Source organism: Homo sapiens, chromosome 12, assembly GCF_000001405.40.
Source record: "Homo sapiens chromosome 12, GRCh38.p14 Primary Assembly".
In the NCBI taxonomy this organism is placed as follows: domain Eukaryota; kingdom Metazoa; phylum Chordata; class Mammalia; order Primates; family Hominidae; genus Homo; species Homo sapiens.
Genome location: NC_000012.12, coordinates 33,426,826 through 33,454,273, shown reverse-complemented (window position 1 = coordinate 33,454,273; position 27,448 = coordinate 33,426,826). Strand labels below are relative to the sequence as shown.

The window sequence follows — 27,448 nt, the reverse complement described above, 5'->3', positions numbered from 1 at the left end:
TCAGTTTCCACATGAATGACCTCAGTTCATTTTTTATGATGTTTTTCACTATATTCTTATCCTGTGTTGTGGTTTCAATTTTTACATTAAAAATGGTCTAAACATTTTTATTTTAGAATTAATTTTTAGAATTAATTTTAAATATATAAGGCATTCAAAATTAAATGCCGTGTAGTGATAAATAAGCATTTGTTGTTTTTTTAAAGATAATAGCTTATTGAGATATTCACATTTAATTTCAATCTTTGAAAGTGTATAATTCAGTGGTTTTTAGTGTATCCACAGAGTTGTGTAAACATCACTACTAACTTTGAAACATTTCATCACCAAAAAAAAAAAAACCTTTCCCTTAATAGCCACTGCCCATTCCCCAGTTCTTCCTGCCCCCTTCCCCAGATCCTGAAAGCCACTAATCTACTTTTCATCTCTAAGAATTTAGGTACCCTGGAGACTTTGTATAAATGGTGCCTCACAGTATGTAGTCTTTTGTGACTGGCTTCTTTCACTTAACACAATATTTTCTGGATTCATCTATGTTGTAGCTTGTATCGGTAATTTATTATTTTTTATTGCCAAATAATATTCTATAGTACAGAATATATTATATTTTGTTTATCCATTAATCAGCTGATGGATATTACCACTTTTTGCAAAATAGGAATAATACTGCTATGAATGTTAATGTACAATTTTTTGTGTGTGAAAATATGTTTCCAATTCTCCTGGCTAAATACTAAGAAGTGAATTAGTAGATAACTCATAGGAAGTTCTACCTGGTTTTCCAATGTCATTGTACCATTTTTATTTCTACCAGAGATGCATAAGTGTTCTACACTCTATCACTGACATGTGTTATATCTGTCTTTTAATAATAGCTATCTTAGTTGATAAGAAGTAATATGTTACTATGGTTTTAATTTGCATTTCTCTAATGGCTAATGATGGTGACTATCTTAATGTGCTTAGTGACCATTTGTATATCTTCTTTGGGGAAATATCTATTCAAGTGTTTACCCATTTTTTTTAAATTGAGTTATCTGTCTTTTTGTCATTGACTTGTAAGCATTCTTTATATTTTCTAGATAAAAGTCCCTCATTATATAAGTGTTTGGCAATATTGTCTCCAAGCCTGTTGGTTAGCTTTTTGCACTCTTGATGCATTTTTGAAGTAAAAAAGGTTTAATTTTCATTAAGTTCAAATTACCTATTTTTTAAAATTTTGTCTATTGTGCTTTCAGTGTCGTACCTAAGAAATTATTGTCTAACTGAAAGTCATGAAAATTTGTTCCTGTTTTTCTCAAAAAGGTTTATAATTTCAGTTCTTACATTTAGGTCTGTTATCTCTTTTGAATTAATTTTTATATATGGTGTGAGGAAGAGGTACACTTTCATCCTTTTGCATGTGTATACCAGTTGTCTCAGCACCATTTGTTGAAGAAACGATTTTTCCTCCACTGAATTGTGTTTGTAACCTTATTGAAAAGTCAATTGCCCATAAATATAAGGTTTTTTTTTTCAGGACTATCATTTCATTGATCTGTATATCTATCCTTATCCTAACACCTCACTGTCTGCATTACTTTAGAGCTTTATAGTAAATTTGATTGGAAGTATGAGTCCTTCAAATTTCTTCTTTTTTTTATAGATTGTTTGAGTTATTCTGTGTGCTTTACAGTTCCATCTAAATTTTAAGATCATTTCATTAATTTTTGCAAAAAAAGCAGCTAGGATTTTCATATAGATGGCATTAAATCTGTATATCAACTTTGGGATTTTGCCTTCTTAACAATAGTAAGTCTTTGATTCATGAACATATCTTTCATTTATTAAGATCTTTTAAAATTTATTTCAGCAATATTTGTAGTTTTCAAGGCTCAAATCTTACATTTCTTTTGTTAACTTTATTCTTAAGTATTTTTATTTTAATGCTCTTATAAATGAAATTGCTTTCTTAATTTCATTTTGGATTGCTTACTACTATTGTACAGCAACAATATTTTTATATTGATCTCAAATCCTGCAACTTTGTTAAATTCATTTATTAGTTGTTGTAGTTTTAATATGGATTCCTTAGGATTTTTTGTATATAAGATGATGTTCTCTGCAAATAGAGATAGTTTTACTTCTTCCTTTCCAATCTGGCTGCTTTTTGTTTGTTTTTGTTTGTGTTTTGTAGCATGTGAATTGGCTTTGAAGTTAATACCAAAAGAATCACTCCAAAAAAAATTTGCCTAAATGCAGCATTTTTAAATTGTTGGTGAGTCCATAAAAGTAACTATGCAGAAAAGCAATATATTTTACTTTATAGTCATATTCCATATTCTAGCACTTACTCTTTAATGTTTACAATAAAAAATATTACAAATTCTTCTGCAGAAAACTTACTCAACAAATTAAATTGAAATTTTCTAGGCCAGCTTTCTGCCAAGAGAGAAGCTGAGAATAAAAATTTCCTGAGAACTTACATACTATTTATATCATCATGTATTAACTATATAACTTTGTTTAATGAATGAATTGTAATCCTAGTGATTTACAAATCATTTTAATCAATATATCCTCTTTATTGAACTTCTCAAAATAACCAGTAATGTTTATGTGATTTTGGTGTTTAAAAATTGACACAGTACATTCTAAGCTCTTAATTCAAACGTGTGAGTCCCAGATAAATCCTACTTAAGAGCTATTATAGGGCTTCACATGATCACTAAGAAACTAAACTGCCATTTCATTCCTGCTCTGTGCCCATAATTATTCTCAGTTCTGGGATGCAGTGGCGAAAAAGTCAGATCTGGCTGTCAAGGAGTTTGTAATCTCATATGGAAAAGATAAATGGTAAACACATAAATAAACCAGCAAGATAATTTCAGAGAGAGGCCACTGCTGTAGAGATAATAGAATATTCTAACATGATTCAGAATGATTGGAACTTCCTCTGTGAGTGAGAATTGAGGAAGAATGTGGTGTAAATAGGAATTTTAGGGAGGTTAATGATGTGCTATGTGAGGTAATTCATCACTTGTTGCCTCTTGAGAAAGGTATTTTGCTACTTCTTAAAACTTTTAGGGGGCCCAATTATTTTACTTATGAATAAGATACCAATTTGAGAAAAAACTTTGACACAGAGTAAAAAGGCTGAGCTATAACTGCTTTATAGATCAAATAATCCTAATCCACAGAGTGATGATTATAATTTATATTTGCATAATGTTTTTGAGTACTTTCCCATTCACTGCCTCTTTTGAGCATCAGGGCAATCCTTTGATGAAAGTAAAACATGATATTATTCTAACAGTAAAAAAAGAAAAGCTAAGTTCAAAGAGTTTGAGTAAGTTATCCATTACACAGCTGGCAAATTATGAAACTTAAAACATAACTATGTGGTTTTTTTTTTTACCTAATTTCAATTAATGCCCTCAATCTTTTATTATTTTAGATTGCTTGTTTTCAATTGACCAGATATTACACCAGAAGTAAGTAAGTATACTATGTAAATTCTTAAGGATACTTTTTGGTCTAAAGAGCCCATATAAAAGGGTGGTTCTCAAAGTGTGGTCCCGGGACCAGCATTATCTGTATCACACGGGAAATTTTTAGAAATGCAAATTATCAGTCCCTACCTCAAAACAAATGAATTAGAAACTCCAGGAGTGGGGCCTAGCAAATTATGTTTTAACAACCGTTCCAAATGATTCTTACACATGCTAAGGTTTGAGATCACAAGTTTAGAAAAGAAGCAATGGTTAATCTCACATTCCTTTTTTTAATTACAAATAAATATATTTTACATTTTAATTTTAATTTCACTGATAGGCATATACATTATATAAATAAAAATTTGCATAAGTGTTTACATATAAACACAGGGCAGTCTTTGAAAATAATACACTCAAAATAATGGCAGGAATTTAAAAGTACTAACATCTATTTTTGTAAGCAGGGTGTGCAAAAGAGGATAATCTTATATGTTTCTGGTAGAAATGTGAATTTAAATGTAATTTCATATAGCAGAATTCTCTTCCTTGGAAATATAGATAAAGTAAATAAAATTATCAGTATTTAAGTAAATATTACAAGTACATTCACTGCAACATGGCCCATTGTAATAAATAGCTAAAGTTAAAAAATCTGCATCAGTAGGGAAATAGTTGAATAAATTATGGCATATCATCATCTTGAAATGTTTCTAGTCATTAAAAATAATTACTCATCATGCTGTACACACTGGAGATTTAATGTACAGCATAGTGACTATCATTAACAATACCATATTGTTTACTTGAAATATGCTGAGAAGACAGGCATAGCTCGTTTTATCGTGCTTCATTTTATTGCACTTCACAGATATTGTGCTGCTTACAAGTTGAAGGTTTGTGGCAACCCTGCCTTGAGCAAGTGTATTGGCACCATTTTTCCAACTGCATGTGCTTACTTCATGTCTGTCACATTTTCATAATTTTTGCAATATTCAAACATTTTCATTATTATTAAAATTAGTATTGTATCTCAGGGAATAAAGAGGCCCGATGAGAGGGAGAGAGATAGGAGAACAGCCGGTTGGTGGAGCAGTCAGAACACACAAAATATTTGAAAATTATGAAACTTAAAACATAACTATGTGTTTTACGATGATATGTGATCAGTGATTGATACAGTTTGGATATTTGTCCTGACCAAATTTCATGCTGAAATGTAATCCCCAGTGTTGGAGTTGGGGCCTGATGAAAGGGGTTTGGATCATGAGGACAGATCCCCCATAAATGGCTTGGACCATCCTCTTAGTGATAAGTGAGCTCTCTCTCTAAGTTCATATGAGATCTGGTTGTTTAAGGGTGTGGCACCTCTATCCCCAATCCCCTCTCTCTTGCTCCTGTTTTCACCATGTGACGTGCAAGTTCCCACTTCAGCTTCCAGCATAAAATTTCCCTAAGCCATCCCCAGAAGCACATGCTGGCATTATACTTCATCTACAGCCTGCAGAACTGTGAGCCAATTAAATCTCTATTCTTATAAATTATCTAGTCTTAGGTATTTCTTTATAGCTATGCAACAATGAATGGCCTAACACAGTGATCTTTGATATTACTATATTAATTGTTTTGAAGTAAAATAAACCACACCCATAAAAGACAGCAACATAACTGATAAATATTTTGTGTGTTCTGACTGCTCCACCAACCGGCCGTTCTCCTATCTCTCTCCCTCTCACTGGGCCTCTTTATTCCCTGAGATACAATACTAAAATTAGGCCAACTACTAACTAGAAAATGGCCTTCAAGTGTTTAAGTGAAAGGAAGAGCCACACATCTCTCACTTTATTTTATTTTTTATTATTATTATTTTTAAAATATATTTATTTTTTGAGACAGGGTCTCACTCTATCACCCAGGCTGGAGTGCAGTGGCGCAATCTCAGTTCACTGCAGTTTCCGCCTCCTGGGTTCAAGAGATTCTCCTGCCTCAGCCACCCAAGTAGCTGGAATTACAGGAGTGCATCACCATTCCCGGCTAATGTTTGTATTTTTGGTGGAGATGGGGTTTCACCACGTTGTCCAGACTTCTCATGAACTCCTGAGCTCAAGGGATCCGCCCACCTCGGCCTCCCAAAGTGCTGAGATTACAGGCTTGAGCCACCGCACCTGGCCGCATCTCTCACTTTAAATAAAATGCTAGAAATGACTATGCTTAGTGAAGAAGGCATGTCTACAGCCAAGAGAGTCTGAAAGCTAGGCCTCTTGCATCAGTTAACCAAGTTATGAATACAAATAAAAAGTTATTGAAAGAAATTAAAAGCGCTACTCCAGTGAACATACAAATGATAAGAAAGTGAAAACAGCCTGTTGCTGATATGAAGAAAGTTTTACTGGTCTGGATAGAAGATCAAACCTCTAATCCAGGGCAATGCCCTAACTCACTCCAGGTCCATGAAGGCTGAGAGAGGTGAGGGAGCTGCAGAAGAAACGTTGTAAGCTGGCAGAGACTGGTTCATTAGGTTTAAGGGAAAAGCCATCTCCACAACATAAAAGTGCAAGGTGAAGCAAGAAGCTGCAGCAAGTTATCTAGAAGATCTAGCTAAGATCAGGGATGAAGGTGGCTACACTAAACAACAGATTTTCAATATAGATGAAACAGCCTTCTATTAGAAGAAGATGCCATCTAGGACTTTCATAGGAGACAGGAGAAGTCAGTGCCTGGCTTCAGAGGACAGGCTGACTCTCTTATTAGGGGCTAGTGCAGCTGGTGGCTTTAAGTGAAAGCCAACGCTCATTTGCCATTTCAAAACTCTTAGGACCCTTAAGAATGATACTAGATCTGCTCTGCCTGGGCTCCCTAAATGGAACAAGAAAGGCTGGATGACAGCACATCTGTTTATAGCATGATTTCCTGAATATTTTAAGCCCACTGTTGAGACTTAATGCACAGAAAAAAGATTCCTTTCAAAATATTACTGTTCATTGACAATGCACCTAGAAATCCAAGGGCTCTGATGGAGATATACAAAGCGATTAATGTTGTTTTCATGACTGCCGTCCATGTACCAAGGAGTAATTTTGATTTTCAAGTCTTTTATTTCAGAAATACTTTTTGTTGTTGTTGTTGTGGGGGTTTTTATAAATGTTGATTCATTAAGCTTTTGTTCTTATTCCATTTTGATACATTTCCTGTACATGGCTCTCACAGTTCTTTTTTTTTTTAAACTTTTATTTTAGATGCAGGGGGTACATATGCAGGTTTGTAACCTGGGTATATTGCATGATGCTAAGGTTTGGGGTCCAAATGATCCCATCACCCAGGTACTCAGCATAGTACCCAACAATTCATTTTTCAATCCTTTCTGTCCTCCTTCCCCCACCCCCAGTAGTCTCGAGTGCCTATTGTTGCCATCTTTATGTCCATGAGTACCCAATGTTTAGTTCCCACTTACAAGCAAGAACATGCAGTATTTGGTCTTCTGTCCCTGCATGAACTCACTTAGGATAATGGCCTCTGGCTGCATATTTGTTGCTGCAAAGGACATGAGTATTTAAGAAACACTCTTGATAAGGGCATAGCTGCTGTAGATAGTGATTCCTCTGATGGTTCTGGGCAAAGTAAATGTAAAGCCGTTTGGAAAAGATTGACCCTTCCAGATGCCATTAAGAAGATTCATGATTCATGCAGGCAGCCAAAACATAAACATGAACAGGAGTTTGGAAGAAATTGATTCCAACCCTCATGGATGACTTTGAGGGGTTCAAGACTTCTGTGGAGGAAGTAACTGCAGCTGTGGTGCAAATAACAAGAGAACTAAAATTAGAGGTGAGCCTGAAGATGTGAATTACTGCAATCTCATGATAAAACCTGAACGCAGGAAGAGTTGCTTCTTATAAATGAGCAAAGAAAGTGGTTTCTTGAGATGGAATCTATTCCTGATGAACATGCAGGAAACACTGTTAAAATGACAACAAAGTATTTGGAATATTCCATAAATTTAGTTGACAAAGCAGCAACAGGATTTAAGAGGATTGGTTCCAATTTTGGACAAAATTCTTCTGTGGGTAAAATGATATCAAAAAGCACAGAAAAATCTTTTGTGAAAGGAAGAGTTGACTGGTGAAGCAAACTTTATTGCAGTCTTATTGTAAGAAATTGCCACAGCCACCCCAACCTTCAGCAACCACCCTCGATCAGTCAGCAGCCATCAACATCGACGCAAGACCCTCTACCAGCAAAAAAGACTACAACTCGCTGAAGGCTCAGATGATCATTAGCATTTTTTAGCAATAAAGTATTTTTTAATTAAGGCATATATATTGCTTTTTAGACATTGTACTATTGCACACTTAATAGACTACAGTATGTGTAAAGATAAATTGTATAAGCACTGGGAAACCAAAAATATGCTGTGACTTTTTGATGACATTTTGTCGCTTTATTATGATATTTACTTTATTGAGGTGATCTGGAACCAAACCCACAATATCTCCCAGGTATTCCTGGAGATCTGTAGTGTCTTCACTAACTTACCCTACACACACAAAATGGTAACTATGAGTAATGATGGATATATTATTTAAATTGATTGTGGTAATCATCTACCACGTATAGCTATATCAAATCATCACATTACACACATTGAATGTGTACTTTTTTTATTTGTCAATTATACCTCAAAAAAGCAAGAAAAAATATTTCATTAAAACTACATCAGTCAAACTGAAGGGATTTTCATTAGTTACAGTTGGGTAAGAACTGCACCATTTTGGAAAACAGACAACAACAGTGTAACATCTATACATGTGTCCATCCATATGCTTATTTACTTATATGGGAGAGAAAAAGAATAGGACAAGGTTCATGCTAGGTTCTTAAATGGTATAACTAGTAGGGTCATGGATTGGTTGCTAATGTGAATGGAGAAATAGATAAAGGCCATACTTTTATCATTTCACGCCTTTATCAATTCACCTTCCTGGCTGAATGATCCTTTAATACCTTTCTGCCTGCTCTGTAGACACCTTATGAGGATAGATGAGAAGCAGCAGCATACAACAATAGCTAAGAACCTAAATTCTGCAACTTAAGGTCTTAGTTGGAAACCAGACTCTATTATCAATGGCTGTATACCCTAAGAGAGGCTACTTAAACTCTCTGAAGTGGTTTTTTCAACTGTACAATATGAATAAAAATATCTATTACACAAGTTTATTGTGAAAATTAAATAGCAAATGTATGTAAAAAGCTTATAACTGTGTCTGTCACTATTCTAAATGAGCTCATATATAAGATATTAATACTATAACAATTAGCTTGAAAACTACTTAGTTTTATAGCTTATATATCAAATAATGATTATGATTATGATTATTAAGCATAGATGTACAACATATAACACAGACATGACACAAAACAGGTATCAAGGGTGGGTGACTGTTCCTGAGATATAAATGGCCATCTTTTTCCTTCTGAAAGGATATACTGCCACTTGCTCTTCCTTGTGGTCCTTCTTCCTTCCTGGGAATAGAATGGTTTACTAGTTTCTATTACATACCCTGGTGATATGGTTGGCTCTGTTCTCACCCAAATCTCACCTTGAGTTGTAATAATCCCCATGTGTCAAGGGTAGGGCCAGGTGAAGATAATTGAATCATGGGGGGTGGTTTCCCCCATACTGTTCTCATGGTAGCGAGTAAGTCTCATGAGATCTGATAGTTTTATAAATGGCAGTTGCCCTGCACAACCTCTCTTGCCTGCCACCACTTAAGATATGACTTTGCTCTTCGTTCGCCTTCCGCCATGACTGGGAGGCCTCCCCAACCATGTGGAACTGTGAGTCAATTAAACCTCTTTCCTTTGTAAATTACCCAGTCTCAGGTATGCCTTTATTAGCAGTGTGAGAGCAGACTAATATACTATATATTTCTGAAATAAGTAACTAATGGCTCTTATTACTGATGATAACTACAGAGAAAGAGATAGGGTTAAGAAGTAACAATCTACTCATCAACAAAGGTTTATCGAATAGCTATTACTGCTGGCACAGTGTGAAGCACTAGAAAAAGAGCAGTGATAAAGCAATAAATGTTTCCTTCCTTCCAGAGCTTACAACAAATTATTTGACTTTAATTATGATTTGTGCTGCAAAGGAGAAATTGAGGATGAAAAGAAAGTACACAGTCAACTCAGAAAACAATAAAGAAGATAGACAGAAGTCAGGTCAGGTAAGGCTTTACAGACCACACTGAAGGTATTCAATAAATCTAAAGCACAGTTGGAAGCCACTGGAAAGTTTTAAATAGTGGCACAATGAGAATTGCCTTTTTAAACAGCTAAATATGATAAATTAAGAATTTGTGTGCTTGTGTTCCTGCTCCTGAAATGACACTGCAATGAGAGTAAAGCTATAAAAGGCTATAAACCCAAAAGAACAAAAAGACTAAAAAGAAAAAAAAGACAAAAGATGTTAATAGGTTTAGAAGATGGAAGCTGGTGAAGAAGCAGTCACTGACTTGCTAAGCAGAGAGAGCTTAAACCTCTAGAGGCAGACAGCAATGAGAAGCTAGTGATTCACCCCAGAGAGACCCAGAAAAAAAAACAGAGATGGAAACACCTCATATTCATTCTGCAGAAGGTGGGGGTAAGACAAGAGGCTAAAAAGGCAGGGGTTGGGGGTCAATGTAATTCTTAAGATGTCTTGAAGCTCAAGTCTCCACCCACACATCTTTAATTATTACCCTTCGCCAAATTGCAAATAAAAGAGGTTTGTTTTATGCTTTGTTTTGCCCAGAAATATTAACCTTGAAAGGCTCTAGATGCTGGACACCAGACCCAAAAGAGGACAGAGTCGGGCGACAGACTGAAGAAGGAGGATTAAGTAAAAGCAGGCAGATTTTAATTACTACCTTACATCCCTGGTGAGAGACTAGATAGTCCCTCTCTGAAAAGAATTGAATCACTCCAGAGAATAAAGCTGTTGATAACGGATATTTGGGGTGTTCCAATTAAAAGTACAACTCAGTTCTGAATTGCCCTTCAGTGATGCTCATTGTTTCTGTGTCTTACCGATGCACTTGGTCCTGCAAATCCATATTACAGTGTTTTTAAATGGAGATCCAGGGATCAGCAGACACCTGAGAAAAAAATCCTCCAACATAAAGAACAGAACAACAACAACAAAAAAAGAGTTATTCAGAGAAAAAGATGACAAGACTAAAACGAGGGTGAAAGCGTGTTAAATATACATAATTAATATGGTCAGACAAATAAGAAAAGATTTTCATTCATGAAATAAGAAAAAAGAATCACTAAGCCAAAAAGTATACAGATCTTAGAACTATAAAAGATGAAATCATAGTAGTTTAATAGAAAGCTCAGAGAACAAGGTCAAAGGAAATCTCCCCAAAATTAAAGCACAAGGAGTAAGGTGACAAAATTGGAAAATAGAAGAGAAGTGAAAATTGGCGATTCAGTCCTAGCAGTCAAAAATCCAACAAAAAAGTAGTTCTAGTAAGGGACTGCACAGAAAAAAAATGGAAGTTAGAACATTACTGAAGGAATAAATCAATAGAATTCTTGGAATTGAAGAACTCAACATTGAGTCTCAGATTGAAATGCTCACTGGGTATCCATCAGGAAAAATGAACAAATTGAACATAATGGAAAAAGAGAAGACACCAAATCTTCCAGAGTGATGAATTGGGTTGTATTAAAAGGATCTGGAGGGTCGGGGACAGTGGCTCATGCCTGTAATCCTAGCACTTTGGGAGGCCGAGGTGGCCTGATCACCTGAGGTCAGGAGTTTAGGACCAGCCTGGCCAACATGGTGAAACCCCACCTCTACTGAAAATACAAAAAAATTAGACGGGCATGGTGGCGGGCGCCTGTAATCCCAACTACTCTGGAGGCTGAGGCAGAAGAATGGCTTGAACCGGGGAAGCAGAGGTTGCAGTGAGCCGAGATCGCACCATTGTACTCCAGCCTAGGCAACAAGAGCGAAACTCCGTCTCAAAAAAAAAAAAAAAAAAAAAAAAAGAAAAGAAAAGAAAAGAAAAGAAAAGGATCTGGAGTCAGAACTGGACTTCTCATTTCTTCTGTGCAAGCCAGAAGTTTGGTCATCATGATCACCAGTTGGCAGTGAGTGGCAATTCCATTTTCTGAATTGAGGAATACGGGACCAGCCCCAAGTGTATACAGAAAGTTACAACTGGTCTGTTATGAATCTGAGCTGCCAATAGAATACAGAAAAGGAAAGTAGTAACACTTGAAGTAAGTTCAAATTTAATAATTTTCTGTGATCTTCATTCAGCTGCTCTGAGATTTCTTCATTTACCTACTCTCTTAGTTCCTGTTTTGGAGGTCAAATAATATTTAAAATTATAGTGTTAGAGTGATTCCCAAGTTCCCCTTACCGTAGAGAGATCTCTGCCTAACAAGCTAACTCTCCCTCCCCCACGATATGAACGAGAAAGGGCAAGAAGGAATTGAAAGAGGATTGAGCAAGTAGGGAAATCAGAGTTTTGAATGTTTAAAATTGTCACTTAACAGGTATGCTTAGTTCACACGGGTTTTTCCTGGGCTCCTTATTTCCAAACCAATCCCTCCTCTACATAACGTAGAGGTCATCCAGAAGGAAGCTGTGACAGAGATCATTACAGCTAGTATTTTTTTGACTAACAATGGCTACTATAGTACTCAGCACAGCCAACAATGCTCAGTAAATATCAGTCTAACCTGCACTCCTCTCCTTTTACTATTTCACCAATTCCTTCAGAGTGTGAGTGGGGAAGTAAATGCAAATCTGTATTGCTTGATTTACTTTTTAGGTTCTTGGTAGCTGAAATAGTTGGAAAAAAAATTTAAAGACTGAAAATTGAAATTCTTGTCATCTTATCCTTCAGCATTGAAAAAGATGACCTTCAATGCAGTTTTTACTTTGCCCAAAATTCTTACCTGAGCTTTTAGTTAGTGACAAACAAAACTGTTTTGATTCACCTGCTAATGAGCTGCGAGATGGTCCAAAGAACAAAGAAAAAAATCAAAACCTGTGATATTCATTTTAGATGAAAGAAAATTTTTTTCAGAGAAATGAATTCAGAAAAACGAATATCCAAGTGAAATTAACTCTGCTTGTTGTGAAAACACAGCAGTAAGAGTAGCAACAGGCCAGGAACAGCATAAACAAATACCAGGAAAGTTATTTTCAGAATTTGTTTACCTAATGTTTAACACTGAAATCAAACACAAGAGGGTCATTAGGGAGACCTTCTGCATTACTCCACTTAAGCAATTAGAATCTGTAAGTAGTATAAAGATAATTACTCATTTGGTCCTCCTACACAGCAATTAGTTCATATGGTAAATATGAAAGTACAGCATTGCATTGCAGGCTGTTTTCTACCGGTCTGTCTGTGTAGACTGTAGCAGAATGGGGGGCAAAAGGCAATTGGAAAGGGCCTTATTAAAGTGTGTTATTTAGTTTTGTGCATACAGTAGATGTTTAATATTTTTTGATTGACAGTGAAATTATTTCTTTAGACAATTTGACTTAAAAACCACCCAAGTCAGTGTGCATAAAGACAAAAACCAAATGAAGCCTGCAGATTTTAGTTTGTCTTAATTCGTGGTAAAAATAGTCCTAGTTAAACCAATCGTCCTATGGATCAGGTCAAAATGATTCAACTAATGAATGCTTCCCTACTGGAGTGCTATGCCTAATATTTATACTAGGTTTACCATAGTCCTGTGCAAAGCAAATAATTTACCATGAACTGATTAGCTGTTTTTAAAAAAGACTACTTATTCTACTAGCATAGACACGCTAACAAGTTCAATGTATCCCACTTCAAAAATAAAGAATCCCTCATCACAAGAGGGTTAAATCAATCCTCAGGTTATGATATGGGATCAAACTCTGCCCGAAAACAGTTTAAAAACCATATAAACATATTATATCCTGAAGCCCATGTTTATTATTTTGTCGCTTTAGTTCTACTGATTTGCACCCATTTGCATTAAAGAATTATAAAAACAGGTGAGCTTAAGACATCCGAGTCCAAATCTCCCATTTTACAGACTCAGGCAAAGACCCGAAAGCAGGCCGGCCGTGGTGGCTAGTGCCAGCATTTTGGGAAGCTAAGGCGGTAGGATTGATTGAGCCCAGGAGTTCGAGACCAGCCAGGGCACCATAGTGAGATCCTTGTCTTTACAATAAGTTTAAAAAAAAAAAATAGCGCCTGGAGTCCCTGGAGTCCTAGCTACTAGGGAGGCTGAAGTAGGAGGATCGCCAAGACCTGAAAACAACTTCAAGGTTAGGCTGAGATGTGTGACAGATTTGAACTTAATCCTGTTCCCTTTAACACCCATGTCTTGTTTTAAGTCGCTAAGAAAGGAGATGGAGGGAGTCAAGTTGTGCATTCTCAATCGCCAATTACGGATTAATCGACAGAATCTTATCTGATTATTAGTACAAATAACATTTTATTTTGTGATCTACCTAAGAGGGTTTGCTTATTCACGCATTCTTTTTTCTAATTAACTTTTTCAGTTTTTCTTCGATTGGGATGACTTTTCCAGAAGGGCAGAAGCAGATAGCACAGAAAGTAGAATACATCCGTGGAAAAGTTGGAGAGACAAAGGCGGCGGGGATGGCTGCACTGATGCAGGGAAAAGTATTGGGAAAACGGAGAGGGCTCCTCGGGCCAACTCTGGGCAACGATGAGCATCCCCGGCCTCGGCAGGGGCGCCGGGCCGCCCGCCCTCCCTCCCTCCCTCCCTCGCGAGTCCCTTCTTCAGAGGACGCGGGGAGCCGGGTCTGCGCGCTCCGCCGCCTGTCACCTAGCGCCCGCGCCGGGCTGCGATTGGACGCGTCGCCGCCAGGCACCCGCCAGAAACACCAGTGCGCTGGGGAGAGGAGGGGGGCGTGCTTGCGAGTCGAGGGCTTGCTTTGGCTTTTTTACGGCTCCCCCCTCCCCTCAGCACTCCATGCCGGGTCTCTAGTTCCAGCGCGCCTCGGCTCGCTCGCGCGGCGGGAGAGTTGGCGCAAACCTCGCGGCAGCCGCAGCCTCCTCGCGCGCCTCTCCTTCCCCTACGCCCTCCGCTCCCGCCATGGGGCCAACGTGGGGCTCCTAAGAGTTGCCGGCTCTCAGCGGCGCAATCTCCAGCCAAAGTCACCGCGGGCGGACTATGGCTTAGGGCGCCAGAGGGGTTAGAGGTACGGGAAGAGGAAAAGACGGCTAACTGGGAAAAAAAGAGAAAACGAAAGAAAAGCCAAACGATGAGTTTCCACAAGGAGGACGGAGTGAACAGTCTGTGCCAGAAGGCTCTGCACATCGTCACCGAGCTGTGCTTCGCCGGCCAGGTGGAGTGGGAGAAGTGCTCGGGCATCTTCCCTCGGGACAGGGGCAGCCAGGGCGGAAGCAGCACAGGTAACCGGGAGGGCTCCGCTCGCGTCCTCGCGCTCCGCTGGGACCCCGCGCGCTAGGCTGCAAGCTCCGGGGTTCTGCGCCTCCCGCGCCGCTCCCGCGGCATATTTGGGGCGCCACGCTTTCCTACCTCGCTCCTTCCTTCGCTCAGCTCCTGACGACTTCGAGGGTGGGGCGTTTGGGTTTTGTTTCCTCCTGTCCACCTGCCGGGCTTCTCCCATTCTCTGGTCCGCTTCCCGCCTCCCGGCGCCGTCTCCCGCTCCCAGCCTCGCCGCGCCTCTCCGCGTTCTCCCACGCCTCCCATCTCCCTCCCGGAGTGGAGAAGTGAGTGCGGGCGGTGACGGCGCCGGGACGGCTCGCGGCTTGGCTGCTTGTGGGGGCGGCTCACCTGTGGGACTAGGGCTGCTCTCGCTCGTTCCACCGGCCGCTGGTCCCGGCCTTGTTGATGGGGGCCAGGCGGGACGGACAAGCCATGCTTGGACGCAGAACTCCCTTGCAGAGGTGGCTGCCTTGGCCTCCGAGGTAACCCGCGGCTGCAACCTGTCGGGCACCTGACAATTTCTAAAGCCCTTTTAATATATATGATTTTCTAGGGTTTCATGACAAAGTTGGTAAAACAAGGATTATTGATCCCATTTGTGAGGCGACACCTAAAGCTCAGAGCACATATCGAAGAAGTGGAAGAGAGGGGAGACGTTTAAAATCCCTAGCACACGCACGCTCTCAGACATCCAACTCACAGACGTCCTCCCTACCCTTCAGGAAACTAGGAAATGGGCTGGATGCAGGAGGATATCGACCGTCGGAAATCTGGAGATGGAAAAAAGTCTCAAGTGGATTTTCCTCAAGGCTTGGGGGTGGAAAGGATCGAATCCAAGCCACTGTTTGGGTCACGGTTGGGGAAAAGGTTGGTGTGTCCAGCCTGCTGTGCTCCTCGGGCGCACGCGAGGTGGATCCCCGAGTTGCGGGCTGCGTGGTTTCAAGAGCCGCTTGAGAGGGTCACTTGTTGCACTAGGAGTCAAAAAACACTGCTTTGGGGATTTTCGACTGGAAGGTTGCCATTCCTTCTCTAGGTTCTTTCCCTTTGCTTTTCCTGTCATTTTGATCTCCTGGCGGGATTTTAAGAGTTGAAGGTAGTCAGGGCAACAAGAGCTGGACAGCCAAGCTCAGGACAACATGGAGCCCTGCGTGCTGGGAGGGAGCAAAGCGGGGCACACTTAGTGAATCCTCTCCACCACCACCCCTGCGTCAAAGCCAAGCGGGGAGTGGGAATGGGTTTAGTTTAGCTTTTACATTCCATCGTTCACATGGGTAGCTGCAGGGTTTGGTATTCTCTGATCCACGGCAACGTGAGCCAAGGGGGCTCTGTCTGCACTTGGCAGAGCTTGAAGATATGCCGCTGCTTGGACCCTGGATAGGGAAACTTTAAAATTTTCTCAGTGTATAAACACAACTGAGAATCATTTCCATTCGTTCAGTAGGTGTTAAATTCCTAGGAGTGTATGAAACTCAGTGGAAGGCACTGTGTGAGCATGTTGTATTCTGTGTCGTGCGTATCGTTGCTAAGTATGAGGTAAAGACCAGAATAGTGTGACCTCAGAGTCCTCTGTGGTGATATTAGATAAGCTTTTCTGAAACGTCTTTAGTGACCCACTTGCTAAAGGTAACACTCAGAGAAGGGGCTACACTGGACGAAATGAGAGTATTTAAGTTTGAAGATTGTGCTTTGGTAATTGAACAGTTGATGCTGTAAATAAAACTACTGATTTTCCTCTTTCCTGCCCTTTTGTGATCACACACCAAATAGTGGTTTCCCGGGTCTCAGACTGGCTGGTAATGAGGAAAATATGTGGAAGTTAGAAACCAAATCCCAGCTCTGAAATCTGTCCAAAATGCACAACTGTATCAGCTTCAGATAAACTATAGTATATGAATTATAGAAATAGTTCTCAGTTTTTCCTAATCACTGCAAGAAGTAGTTGTAGTCTGAATTCCTTTTGAACTTTTCCCCTTGGGAATAAAAAGTGAGAAAAATTAGTCTAAAACAATTGCAAGAATATTTTCCTCCCCTTAAGAGGCAAAATAGACTACATAATATATACAAGTGGGGTATTCGATTTATAATATAGGAACACACATATTTATTGGCTATTACTAGGAAAGATATTCTACTAAGTTGTGTATGACATATAAAGACAAGATTGCTATACGTTTTTCATTTGCGAATCCAAGCAACAGTTAGAAGTAAAATACTTTAATCTGCAAATAGACACTCAAAGTTAATAGATATCTATGAAGTGGATTTAAAGATTGTTTGCCAAATATTTAATTATATTTCTTAGCCACCCAGCGTCACACTGTTCTTTAAAGTAGATTTTCTTATAACTTGTGCTCTCATGCTTGTTATTATAGGTTCCTAAATAAAGCACTTCCAGTGATCCTTCTACTCATCGTTTAATGAGAAGGCCATTTTTGGTAGGAAGACATCAACAATGTTGAATGGCACAGTGCTTATTTACTTTGAAAGTTAATCAGCACTGCCCAGATGGTATTGGTTGTTCTAACATTACAGTGATAATTACAAGCTCCAAAATTGTGTATATTTTTAATTCCTTCACATAGAGATAGTGGGAGAGAAATTCAGGTAATTCCAGTTAAAATCATTCTACATGAAGGGAGCTACAAATCATGTATATATGTAAGATATTATCTTACGGGTTTTGCAAATGCCAGTGAAGTGCAAGTATCACCATTATTTTTACCATATCAGCAGTAGCAGAAGCAGCAGCAGTATTGTTGCCATTGAGGATCTCACAGTCACAATATGATCACAACATGACTGATCTCATACTTTAATAAAATTGGTGAAGACTTACACTAAAGTTGCCAACACAAGTTCATTTACTCTTTTGGCGTAGTTTATCGGAGTCATTATATGTGCCAGCATTACTAATATTCTAGAAAGTTCACCACGTGCACTTTTTAGAATATCAGATATTTTGAGTCTTTTTACCATGGATTCTCTCTTTCTCCCGAAATAGATATGTCACCCACTAAATTAATCTCAATGCACAATATGATTTAATATTAGAATGCTTAGGGAAAATACAAAGCAACATATTGGACCCAAAAGTTATTTTTCAGGCATACTGTGACTGAATATATATAATCGTTTTTAAACTGGATTTAGCTTAATTTCTGATTACTCCTTAATTGCTGCTCAAATGCTCATCAATTTCAAGGAACCTATGTTGCTTAAAAGGCAGACGTCATAAATCACAGCTAATCAATCCCACTTAAGCTCACAGTCACTTGAGCTCACATCACAATTGTATAGCTCTAAGCTTAATTTAAAGATTTTCATAAGCATTTCATTCATCAATGTTCTAATTTTGCATGTTTACACAATTTTAATTTGGGACTAAAAATTCTAAAATAAAAATTTAGACAAATTCTTCTAAATTCATACATATGTTCTTCAGTTTCTTAGAGGTAGGGATAAAAGTAGGTATATGGGAAATAATTTTATTAAAGTACTTAACTGACAAGAAAAGGGATAGTTAAGTAAAATTATAAGAATTACATCATAATTTCCCTCTAAGATCAAGGCATAGTGGGTCTATGATAAAGGTTTAAAATTAGTAGAGGGACTTCATAGTAGAGGGACAAAGCAAATGACTACCCAATTAATTGAGTTATCATTTTTTAATCACCATAACAGGGTTTTACACATCCTAGTGATTGTATAAAGAATTCCAATTCACAAACATATTATCAGTAGAATTTTTTCCTTGAGACTTGTAGGTCTATAAAAGAATAATGGAGCCACAGTGAATTCAGAATGATAGGCCTGTTTGAAGAAGAATATATAAGAGGATATTTTTCCTTCCTCCACATTGTCACTCCACTGAAGAGTGGCCAACTTCTACTATGTCTAGTCTCATTGTCACATGATCATCAATACACCTTGTGCTTGGTCTGATTTACTTCAAATGCAAATGGAGACCTATCTTCAAAGCCAAGAAGATCTCAGCAAACATTTATTCTTCTTAAATCCCAGTATGTTAGCAGTATTGGCAGGAATTTCTTTTTGCTTTAACCTTTTCTTTTTCCTTTGTGACAAATTAAAAGCTGTATTTCCTTTTTCTATGAACTGTGAGTCTCTGACATCTAATTCTTATGAATGATTTTGTATACCAAGCTCAAATCACATTTTTAAAAAAACAGTCATTACTGTAATACTGGCTTTTTGAAAAAATTGGTAATTGTTTGAGATGCATCTGCATTCATTTACAAGCTTTTTTAAATACAAAATTCTGGCAGAAGACAATCATTACCATAAATGTTTAATGTAATTTCCAATGCCAATGAAAATCATTTCTATTTTGAACATGTGATTATATTCTTCCCAATCTACATTTTATTCCACTAACGTTGTACACATTAAGTCAATAGCATGTCAGCTCTTTGAGGTCAGGGGCTTGTTTATTGTTTTATCTTCAGTGCCTTGAAAAATCTGTGGTTCATACTAGCTACTTTATTTATTTACTATTTTTATTTTATTTTTTTGAGATGGAGGTTCACTGTTGTTGCCCAGGCTGGAGTGCAATGGCGGGATCTCAGCTCATCACAACCTCCGCCTCCCAAGTTCAAGCGATTCTCCTGCCTCAGCCTCCCAAGTAGCTGGGATTACAGGCATGTGCCACCACGCCCAGCTAATTTTGTATTTTTAGTAGAGTCGGGGGTTTTCTCCATGTTGGCCGGGCTGGTCTCCAACTCCCGACCTCAGGTGATCCGCCCACTTCTGCATCCCAAAGTGCTGAGATTACAGGCGTGAGCTACTGCACCTGGCCCAATTAATATTTTTTAAATGAATGAATGAATCAAGGGATTTATTATCAAGAAGCTTCAACTTTATTATTTGTAAGATAATGAGTCTTACTTAATAACCTCCAAATCTCTTCTGCAACTAAATTGTATACATCTGTATTTTTGTGTCACCAGTATCTAATACAATATCCTATATAGACATACAAAATATCTAGTTTATGATAATAGCAGAAATTAGAGCACTTACAACATTAAAAAGCTAGAATTCAGTCAGCAATATACTCATGAAAAAGCAACTGAACTTGATATAGGTATCCATTGATTTTCTTCAGAGTGTGTTCAACTGGATCTGTAATTCCATGGCTAAATTTGTAAGTGTTGCATAAAGCACTGAGTCTACAAGTTCTAGAATCTCTGTTCAATATATTCATGTATGGCAGTAAAAGGAAAGCATGTTAGTGTGCTAAGTAGAAAGTGGCAGGAGAAAAGTAACTATCTCATGATTCAAATTGCTGTTAATCATTCCAGTTGAAAGTAGGAATCATCACTTTGCAGATGTGAAAACTAAGGCAAAGAAATTTAACCTCCCTTCAAATCATCACTAGTTAGTGATGGAGATAGGCTAAGAAACCAGGGCTTCTTAGATTTTAGCCTAGGTTTAACAAAGAGTAGGAATAGGAAGAGGAGATTCTGGGGGCGTCCTTGGCGCTGAAGGGCATTGGAAAAAATGTCTGTGAAGATAAGCTGTTAATATTATTACATTATTGGCTATAATTACTGGCCAATAAAATTTCTTAGTGTGCAATTATGACCCATATCTCAAACCTTTCTATTAGATTTTCTATCATCCAAATATAACAAGCAGTGTTTTTCATTTTTCTTACTTGACTATGCACACATGTGTACTTCAGTGTACACGAGTAGGTGTTTACATATTCTTGGCCAAATATAATTGATTTGTGTCAACTGTAAAATCACATAAAAGATTTTTAGTGTGTTTGAAATGCACGACTTTGAACGCATATAATCCTAAATATAGTTCCTTTCATATGTTTATAAATTAGTCTGTAGTGAAAACAGATATTAAATTACCAGTTACATTGTTTTTGTTAATTTGTAATTAGAAAAAATAATTCATTAAAATCTTGTGTGCTGTATTTTCCTACCATATTTTGGTCAAGTGAAGTAATTAACAGTGTATACTATTAAAATTCAGTACTATGAGGCATTGGAGACAAAATGTGACTGAAAAAGAGCTGAGAGTCACCCACTCAAAAATCTCAGGGCATCATTAGTATGAATCTATCAAACTGAACCTTCAGATAAGGAGTGTTATTATTATAGGTCTTTTGTCTAACTGGCACAATGCCAATTTCCTCTGTTGGTGGAATATCTAACACTGACCAAGTTTACAAACAGAATTCCTGACTAAAGAGATGGCTTCTTTTATTATTTTATAGGGTAATTTTCTTTTTCTTCATAATGTTAAATACATCCTAAGTAGTCACTGAAGCTATAAGAGCTGGCATCAACATGCCTCACATAGACTATTGGGGAAAAAAAGTAGAAGCTCTTATGGGTTTATTACCAGAAATTAATAAAACTCTTTACACGTTTGTTTCTTTATGGAATTGTGCTGTAATGGGCTTGGAGCCAGAAGGGGGGAATCATCCTAAGGGGAATAGAAAGGAACCGATATTAATGACTTTTTTTCCTTAGATGGACCTTGATGTATGTTATGATCTACTGTCTAATTTATTATTCCATTGTTGACTAGATAACATGACAGTCAATTTTTAAAACCTTGTAAATGTCAATTTGTCCATACCACAATATTGTCTTAATTAAACAAGGACTATTGTTTTCTCTTCAGTATTTATTAATATTATTCCCTTAGTGATGTTTTAGTAGTCATGGATTTATAGGACTAATGGACAAAACAATATTCAGAGCCTATAATTTCAAATATTTTACAATATAAGCTGTTAATGTACCTGAGAAGTGGTTTTAACATCATGCTTTTATTCAAGCAATATTTATTGAGCGCTTACTATGTGAAAGCCACTGTGCCAAGCATTAAGTGTACTAGAGCCATTAATTAAATGTATGTGATGCTATGTGTGATGTTCAAGTTAATGTAAATATATGAGTAATATACAGTCACCAATTATAAATAATTTACTCAATTATGAGCATATGTAAAGCTTTTTAATAAATTTAGATATTTGAATACCATATTTGGTACTACGTTTTATCAAATCGAAGATGCCTTTGATTATAAGATGCACCATTATTTTATGTGGCACCAAGAAAGGAAAGAGAATGTTGCCAAATAAACTATGGCACAATGCTTTTTAATCACATGGAATTTTTATTTTATATGTATAGAAATACTTCTTTTAAAACTTAGACTTTTAAAGAAATCTTATATCACTCTGACACAAATATAGGAAGGAAAACATAAAAGAAATAGGTTAAAGTAATTTTAAAACTAAAATTCTGAGTCTGATTCTTCTGAGTGGCTTTTTGATTCAGAATTAATGATGTCCTTGTTTTTCCACACATTATCATATTCTATGCCATAAAAAGTGTTAATGATGCATTTTTTCTTAACATAATTCATAAAAGATATACAGGCCAAGGGTACTGTGCTCTAAAGCTAACTGTGCAAATATGTGGGATGTTGGCAGTGTTTCTAAATACATCTGACTCACCACCTTCACCACCCATTTCCAAAAATTTGACTTATAAGGTTGAAGGATGTGCTTCACTATTTTCTTCAATATTCTCTTATAAGCCACTTGGACTTATTCTATGAATTTTGATGCTGATGCTTTTGCTTTAGCGCATACACAAATAACAAAAATTATGACACAATTACTGCTTAGCTGTTAGCTATTGTAACAAGCCGTCAATACTAAGATAACATTCTGATTTCAAAAATGCAAAATGTTTTAAAGTATGTATTTTATAATGGATTAAATATTAAATTAAATTAAATAATTACAATTAATGTAATTGTTATCATTTATTGAAATTCAAGAGAAAGGCAAAGGTCAATAAATTTAAAATGGACATTATAAGAGGCAATGTGCAAGGATTGTTGTTGATTGATGATATTATGTATTAGATTTATAGATGAGAAAGTGACTACTAGTTGCTTCCCAGTATTCATCTCCCGCTTCTACTTCACAGCAATAGGATCTCTTATTTTTCTTAAGAATATGGCAGCATAAAAAATTTTAAAAGAGCATTTTTCAGTCTCTTTCCAGTTTGGTATAGCCACATGACTAAGTCCTGACCCTTGGGAAGTTAGCAATGATGTGCACAACTTCAAATTTGTACTTTTAAAATGAAATGACATACCCTCACCTTCCCTTTTTCCATCTTCTTCTTCCATCCAGCTGCCTGAAATATGGACGTAGTAGCTTGCCATCTTGGACTTCAAAGAGAAGCAAAGACCTTTGAATAGTAGAGCAAAAATGTAAAACAAACCAGAATTCCAGGCACCTTAGAGTTGATAAATCTGCCGTGGCCTGTTTATGCTGGGACAGTCTCACTTCACATGAGAGAGAAATAAACTATCTTGTTTCAGTCACTATTAATTTGGTCCCTTGTTACAGAAATCAGAAGCATGCCCTAATTATTATAATGGTAATATCAGATGAATAGTATAAATAAATTAACTTCAAAGATAATCCCAAAATTTCATCTTTGACTAAGAGTTGCTGATTTGAGTTTTATTCCCCCTCTTTCTCTATGAAATGGTGCCATAAGCAAATATGGACTGTGGTCAGGCAACAACAGGAAGCAGGAAAGAAACAAAGGGCTTGGAATACCGATGAACTAAATTATATTAATTTATGATTAATTATTGGAAATCACATTTTTGTACATTTTGTACATTTTGAAAAATTAAAAATGAACTAGAATTTTAAAATTTTTAAAAAGATACAGATAGACACAGAGGAGAATATCAATTCAAGCAGTAGTAATTGCATGATCATGCAGAAATTGGAATTGAGAACAGGACACTTGGCCTGTGCTTTTCTGCATGATCATGTTAGCTGCATGGGTAGTAGGTAATTGGACCTAGCAGTATTTATAAGTTTCAGTGGACAAGATCATGCAAATGTTATGGCCTGGTTATACAGACTTTAGCAAAGTTCTGCTATGCTAAAAGTTTCTGACGAATTCGCATTTTAGAAGTTCCCTGTATTTTCTGATGACAGTGATCTTTTTCTCAGTTTTTCTGAACTATGTCACTTTATTTTGGGATATTAAAACATGATAAAAGAGTAAAATGTTTCTGACTAAAATTAGTTAGAGATATATAGTCAGACAGACCGACAGACATATAGACAGTGGCAGAATAATGTTTATGCATGTGTATGTAATCAAACCAGAGTTCGAGCAATTTTAAACCTAATTATCTCAGAGCCTAATCTAATTTCTGTTTATTTCATTAGCTCTTAATCTTTCCAGATATGATAGGATGAATGCTATGTAATGGATTCTTTTTAATTATCCGGAGACAGTGAAAATTAGAGCTAGAGAGCCTAGTCATCAAGTTTGCCCGTTGGAATGGGTAACTTGAAAGCCTGTGTAGAAAAGCCAGGACATTCAGATTCATCTCCCTGGCCTCCCAGTGATTGGCCACCTTCCTCCGGTGATCTTCTCTACTTCAACTTACCTCTTTTCTTTTATGATCATACTCAAACCCTTGTCATTATGGTGAACAATACTACCATAGCATTGTAAATCCAAATATTTCGATCCCCAACCAAAATCTCCTATGAGTTCATCTTTCTCATTTAGAAACTCCAGTCTATTAACTTTTTATTTATCTCTGAATTTTCTTTCAGTAAGTATGACGTCATACTTATGATGCATCATTTTATCTGCCCAATACACTCTCTCCTTTGAGGTCTATCACATTCTTCTGGAAAAATAAACAAACCAAAAACCTTATGCATGGATGCATTTATTTGTCTCTTTGCCCCTACACCAAAGCTGCTGAATATTTAGAAGATTTTAAAACCAGGCAGACTAGTATCACTTTATTGGTCTCCAATTTTGAAAGAAATGTATATTCTGACCAGGCATCTAATGTTTTCCTATTCAAGTTTCTCCTATTCTCTATAGTTCTTATTTCAAACTTTTCTCATGCTCTTCAAATATCCCAAACTATTCCCAAATATTCCAACATAATTGACAGTTAACCCTAACTCCTCCTTTGGAGAGAAAAATATAGTTATAAACAAGAATTCACTTGACTTCCTGCCTCGAGACCTATAACCTTACTGGCATCCAGAACTATTCTCTTTTTCTTACAAAGAAAGAAGCAATCCAATTCTTTGATCTTTGCTTCAGATCTCATCCATTGTCACCTTTTATGGGACTTCACTGTTAATTATTCCGCTTAATTGCCTATCCATTCTTGTCCACTGATTCCTTCTCACCATTCTGAAGCATGCTGAAGTATTGCAAATCCTAATGAAAACACCTTCATCAACTCCACGTGCTGCTGTAGTTATTGCTCCCTCTCTCCTCCTTCCCTAGGTATAATTTCCTGAAGGAATTATCTACTCTCACAGAGTCCATTTCCACACTGCCAGTCTTTTTTTTTTTTTTTTTCTGAAGCAGAGTCTCACTCTGTCACCCAGGCTGGAGTGCAGTGGCGCAACCTCGGCTCACTGCAAGCTCCACGTCCCGGGCTCACGCCATTCTCCTGCCTCAGCCTCCCAAGTAGCTGGGACTACAGGCACCCGCCACCACGCCTGGCTAATTTTTTGTATTTTTAGTAGAGACGGAGTTTCATCGCTTTAGCCAGGATGGTGTCGATCTTCTGACCTCGTGATCCGCCCGTCTCAGCCTCCCAAAGTGCTGGGATTACAGGCGGGAGCCACCGCGCCTGGCCGCCAGTCGTTTCTTAATCCACAGTAATCTGGTTAACACAACATCTGCTTCACTGGTCTCATAGAATTCACTAAAGATATACTTGTTAAAGTTAATGGTCACTTCTCAACTCTTGTTTTAATTGAACTTATTTTAATGATTTACACTATCATTTCTTAAAATATTCTCCCAGCTTCTGTGAATACCCATTGACCTGATTTTTTTGCATATCTTTCTTTCTCCTTTTCTCCATTCTTCTGTGCAGGTTTCTTATGCCTTGAAACTCTCTTTAAATATTGTTGTACTCAGGATTCTGTTGAGGAACATTTATCTTCTATGGATTCAGATCCCACTATTTAAGGAAGTTAAATTAGTTGCAATTTATTTAAGTTGCATTTATGCATGACCAATAGCCTACTCAAAATTTCTACTTGCATGACCATAAGTACTTCAAACTCAGTACGAGCAAAACTGAGTCACATTCTTGTCCTTTTTAATCTTCACTCTCCTTCACTAGAGCTTTGATGTTCTCTGGAATCTTTTCTTTCCCATTTCAGCAACCCTGGTTCAGAACCACTAGTCTCTCACATGGATAGCTCTTGTAATCTATTAACTAGTGTTTCCTCTTCCAGTCTTGCCTTCACTTCTATCTTCTCCTTAGTCAAAATGTTAGTTCTGAAATGCATATTTTCATTTCAACACCTTGATTTAAAATGTTTCTGGGATTACTCATTTTTCTTTGAATTAAATCCTAACTCATAGTGTACTTCATGTCATAGTTAAATGAATCACAAACATGAAAAAGTCATTTAAAATTTTTTGATGACTTTATAAATTCTCCTAGATCCTCACTTAATCTTTTGATAGGTTATTTTTCTTTTGTTAAACAAGGCTTGTTATTGGGAGAAAAATATGTCATGAAGAGCTACACATTAAGCACTTGATTTCATTTTTAATACTATTAATGATTAGTCATAATTGCTATGGCAAGCAATGCAAAACATAAATAAAATACAATAAGCTTGTTTGCATAATTTTCGTTTTATTTTTCAGGATAAAATTCTACTTAATCTAACTTCTTGCACTGTTTTCTATTAAGCAGAATTCTCTTTCTCCCATGCCTTGTCTCTGGATGCAAGGAGCTACAACACTGTAATTATGATGGAATCTTGACCCACCCCCATCCTTAAGAAATGATACATCAATTTCTCCCTTCTTTGAGGAAAAAGCTTGACATCTTCAGGAAACAAAAATTTTCTGCTTCTCTATATTGTAAAATGTACAGGGTCAAGTTCTATGGAGAATGCCTGTGCTAGTCCCATCGGCCCATTTCCTGGTTCATAGATGACACCTTCTTGCTATGCCCTCACATGGTAGAAGGGCGAAAGAGCACCCTTGGCCTACTTTATAAGAACACTAATCCTACTCATGAAGACTTCCCTCATGACCTAATGCCCTCCCTAGAAGTCCCACCTCCTAATACCATGGCCTTGGGGATTAGGATGTCAGCATATGAATTTTGGGAGTGATACAAAAATTCAGGCCATAGCACAATTCATTAATTAATTTAGGACTTAAGAAATTAAGAGAAATTAGAAACAAAAATAATACAAAATTATCAGAAAGAATCTATGGAGGTTGAAAAATGTAACTAATAGTGTCTCATTCTCTATTAGTAATGTGTTATTCTCATTTATACTGTTGAAAACCGTTTACAGAAATATTTAATATGATTCTCTGCCTAGAGAATGAGAAGCTTGCATCTTTAGATCAAAGATGAAGCAAACAAGAGTTTCCTATTGTGTGCAGTTTTAGAATTTC

The 27,448-nt window shown here is 37.2% G+C and overlaps 1 protein-coding gene across 1 annotated transcript in view, besides 1 other annotated feature; it reads left to right on the top strand.

Annotated features, from left to right (window-relative positions):
- SYT10 (synaptotagmin 10) overlaps positions 14,455-27,448 on the top strand; it is a 65,582-nt gene continuing 52,588 nt past the window's right edge. Inside the window, exon 1 of the mRNA NM_198992.4 lies at positions 14,455-14,902. Coding sequence (NP_945343.1) covers positions 14,752-14,902 — 151 coding nt within the window. The 5' untranslated portion in view covers positions 14,455-14,751. The remainder of the gene's footprint in view (positions 14,903-27,448) is intronic.
- Positions 14,728-15,544: an enhancer, noted in NCBI's record as "H3K4me1 hESC enhancer chr12:33591665-33592481 (GRCh37/hg19 assembly coordinates)". NCBI's record gives its function as "activates a minimal SCP1, AML or CMV promoter by ChIP-STARR-seq in naive H9 embryonic stem cells {active_cell/tissue: H9 hESC(naive)}" and the evidence as "EXISTENCE:reporter gene assay evidence [ECO:0000049][PMID:30033119]".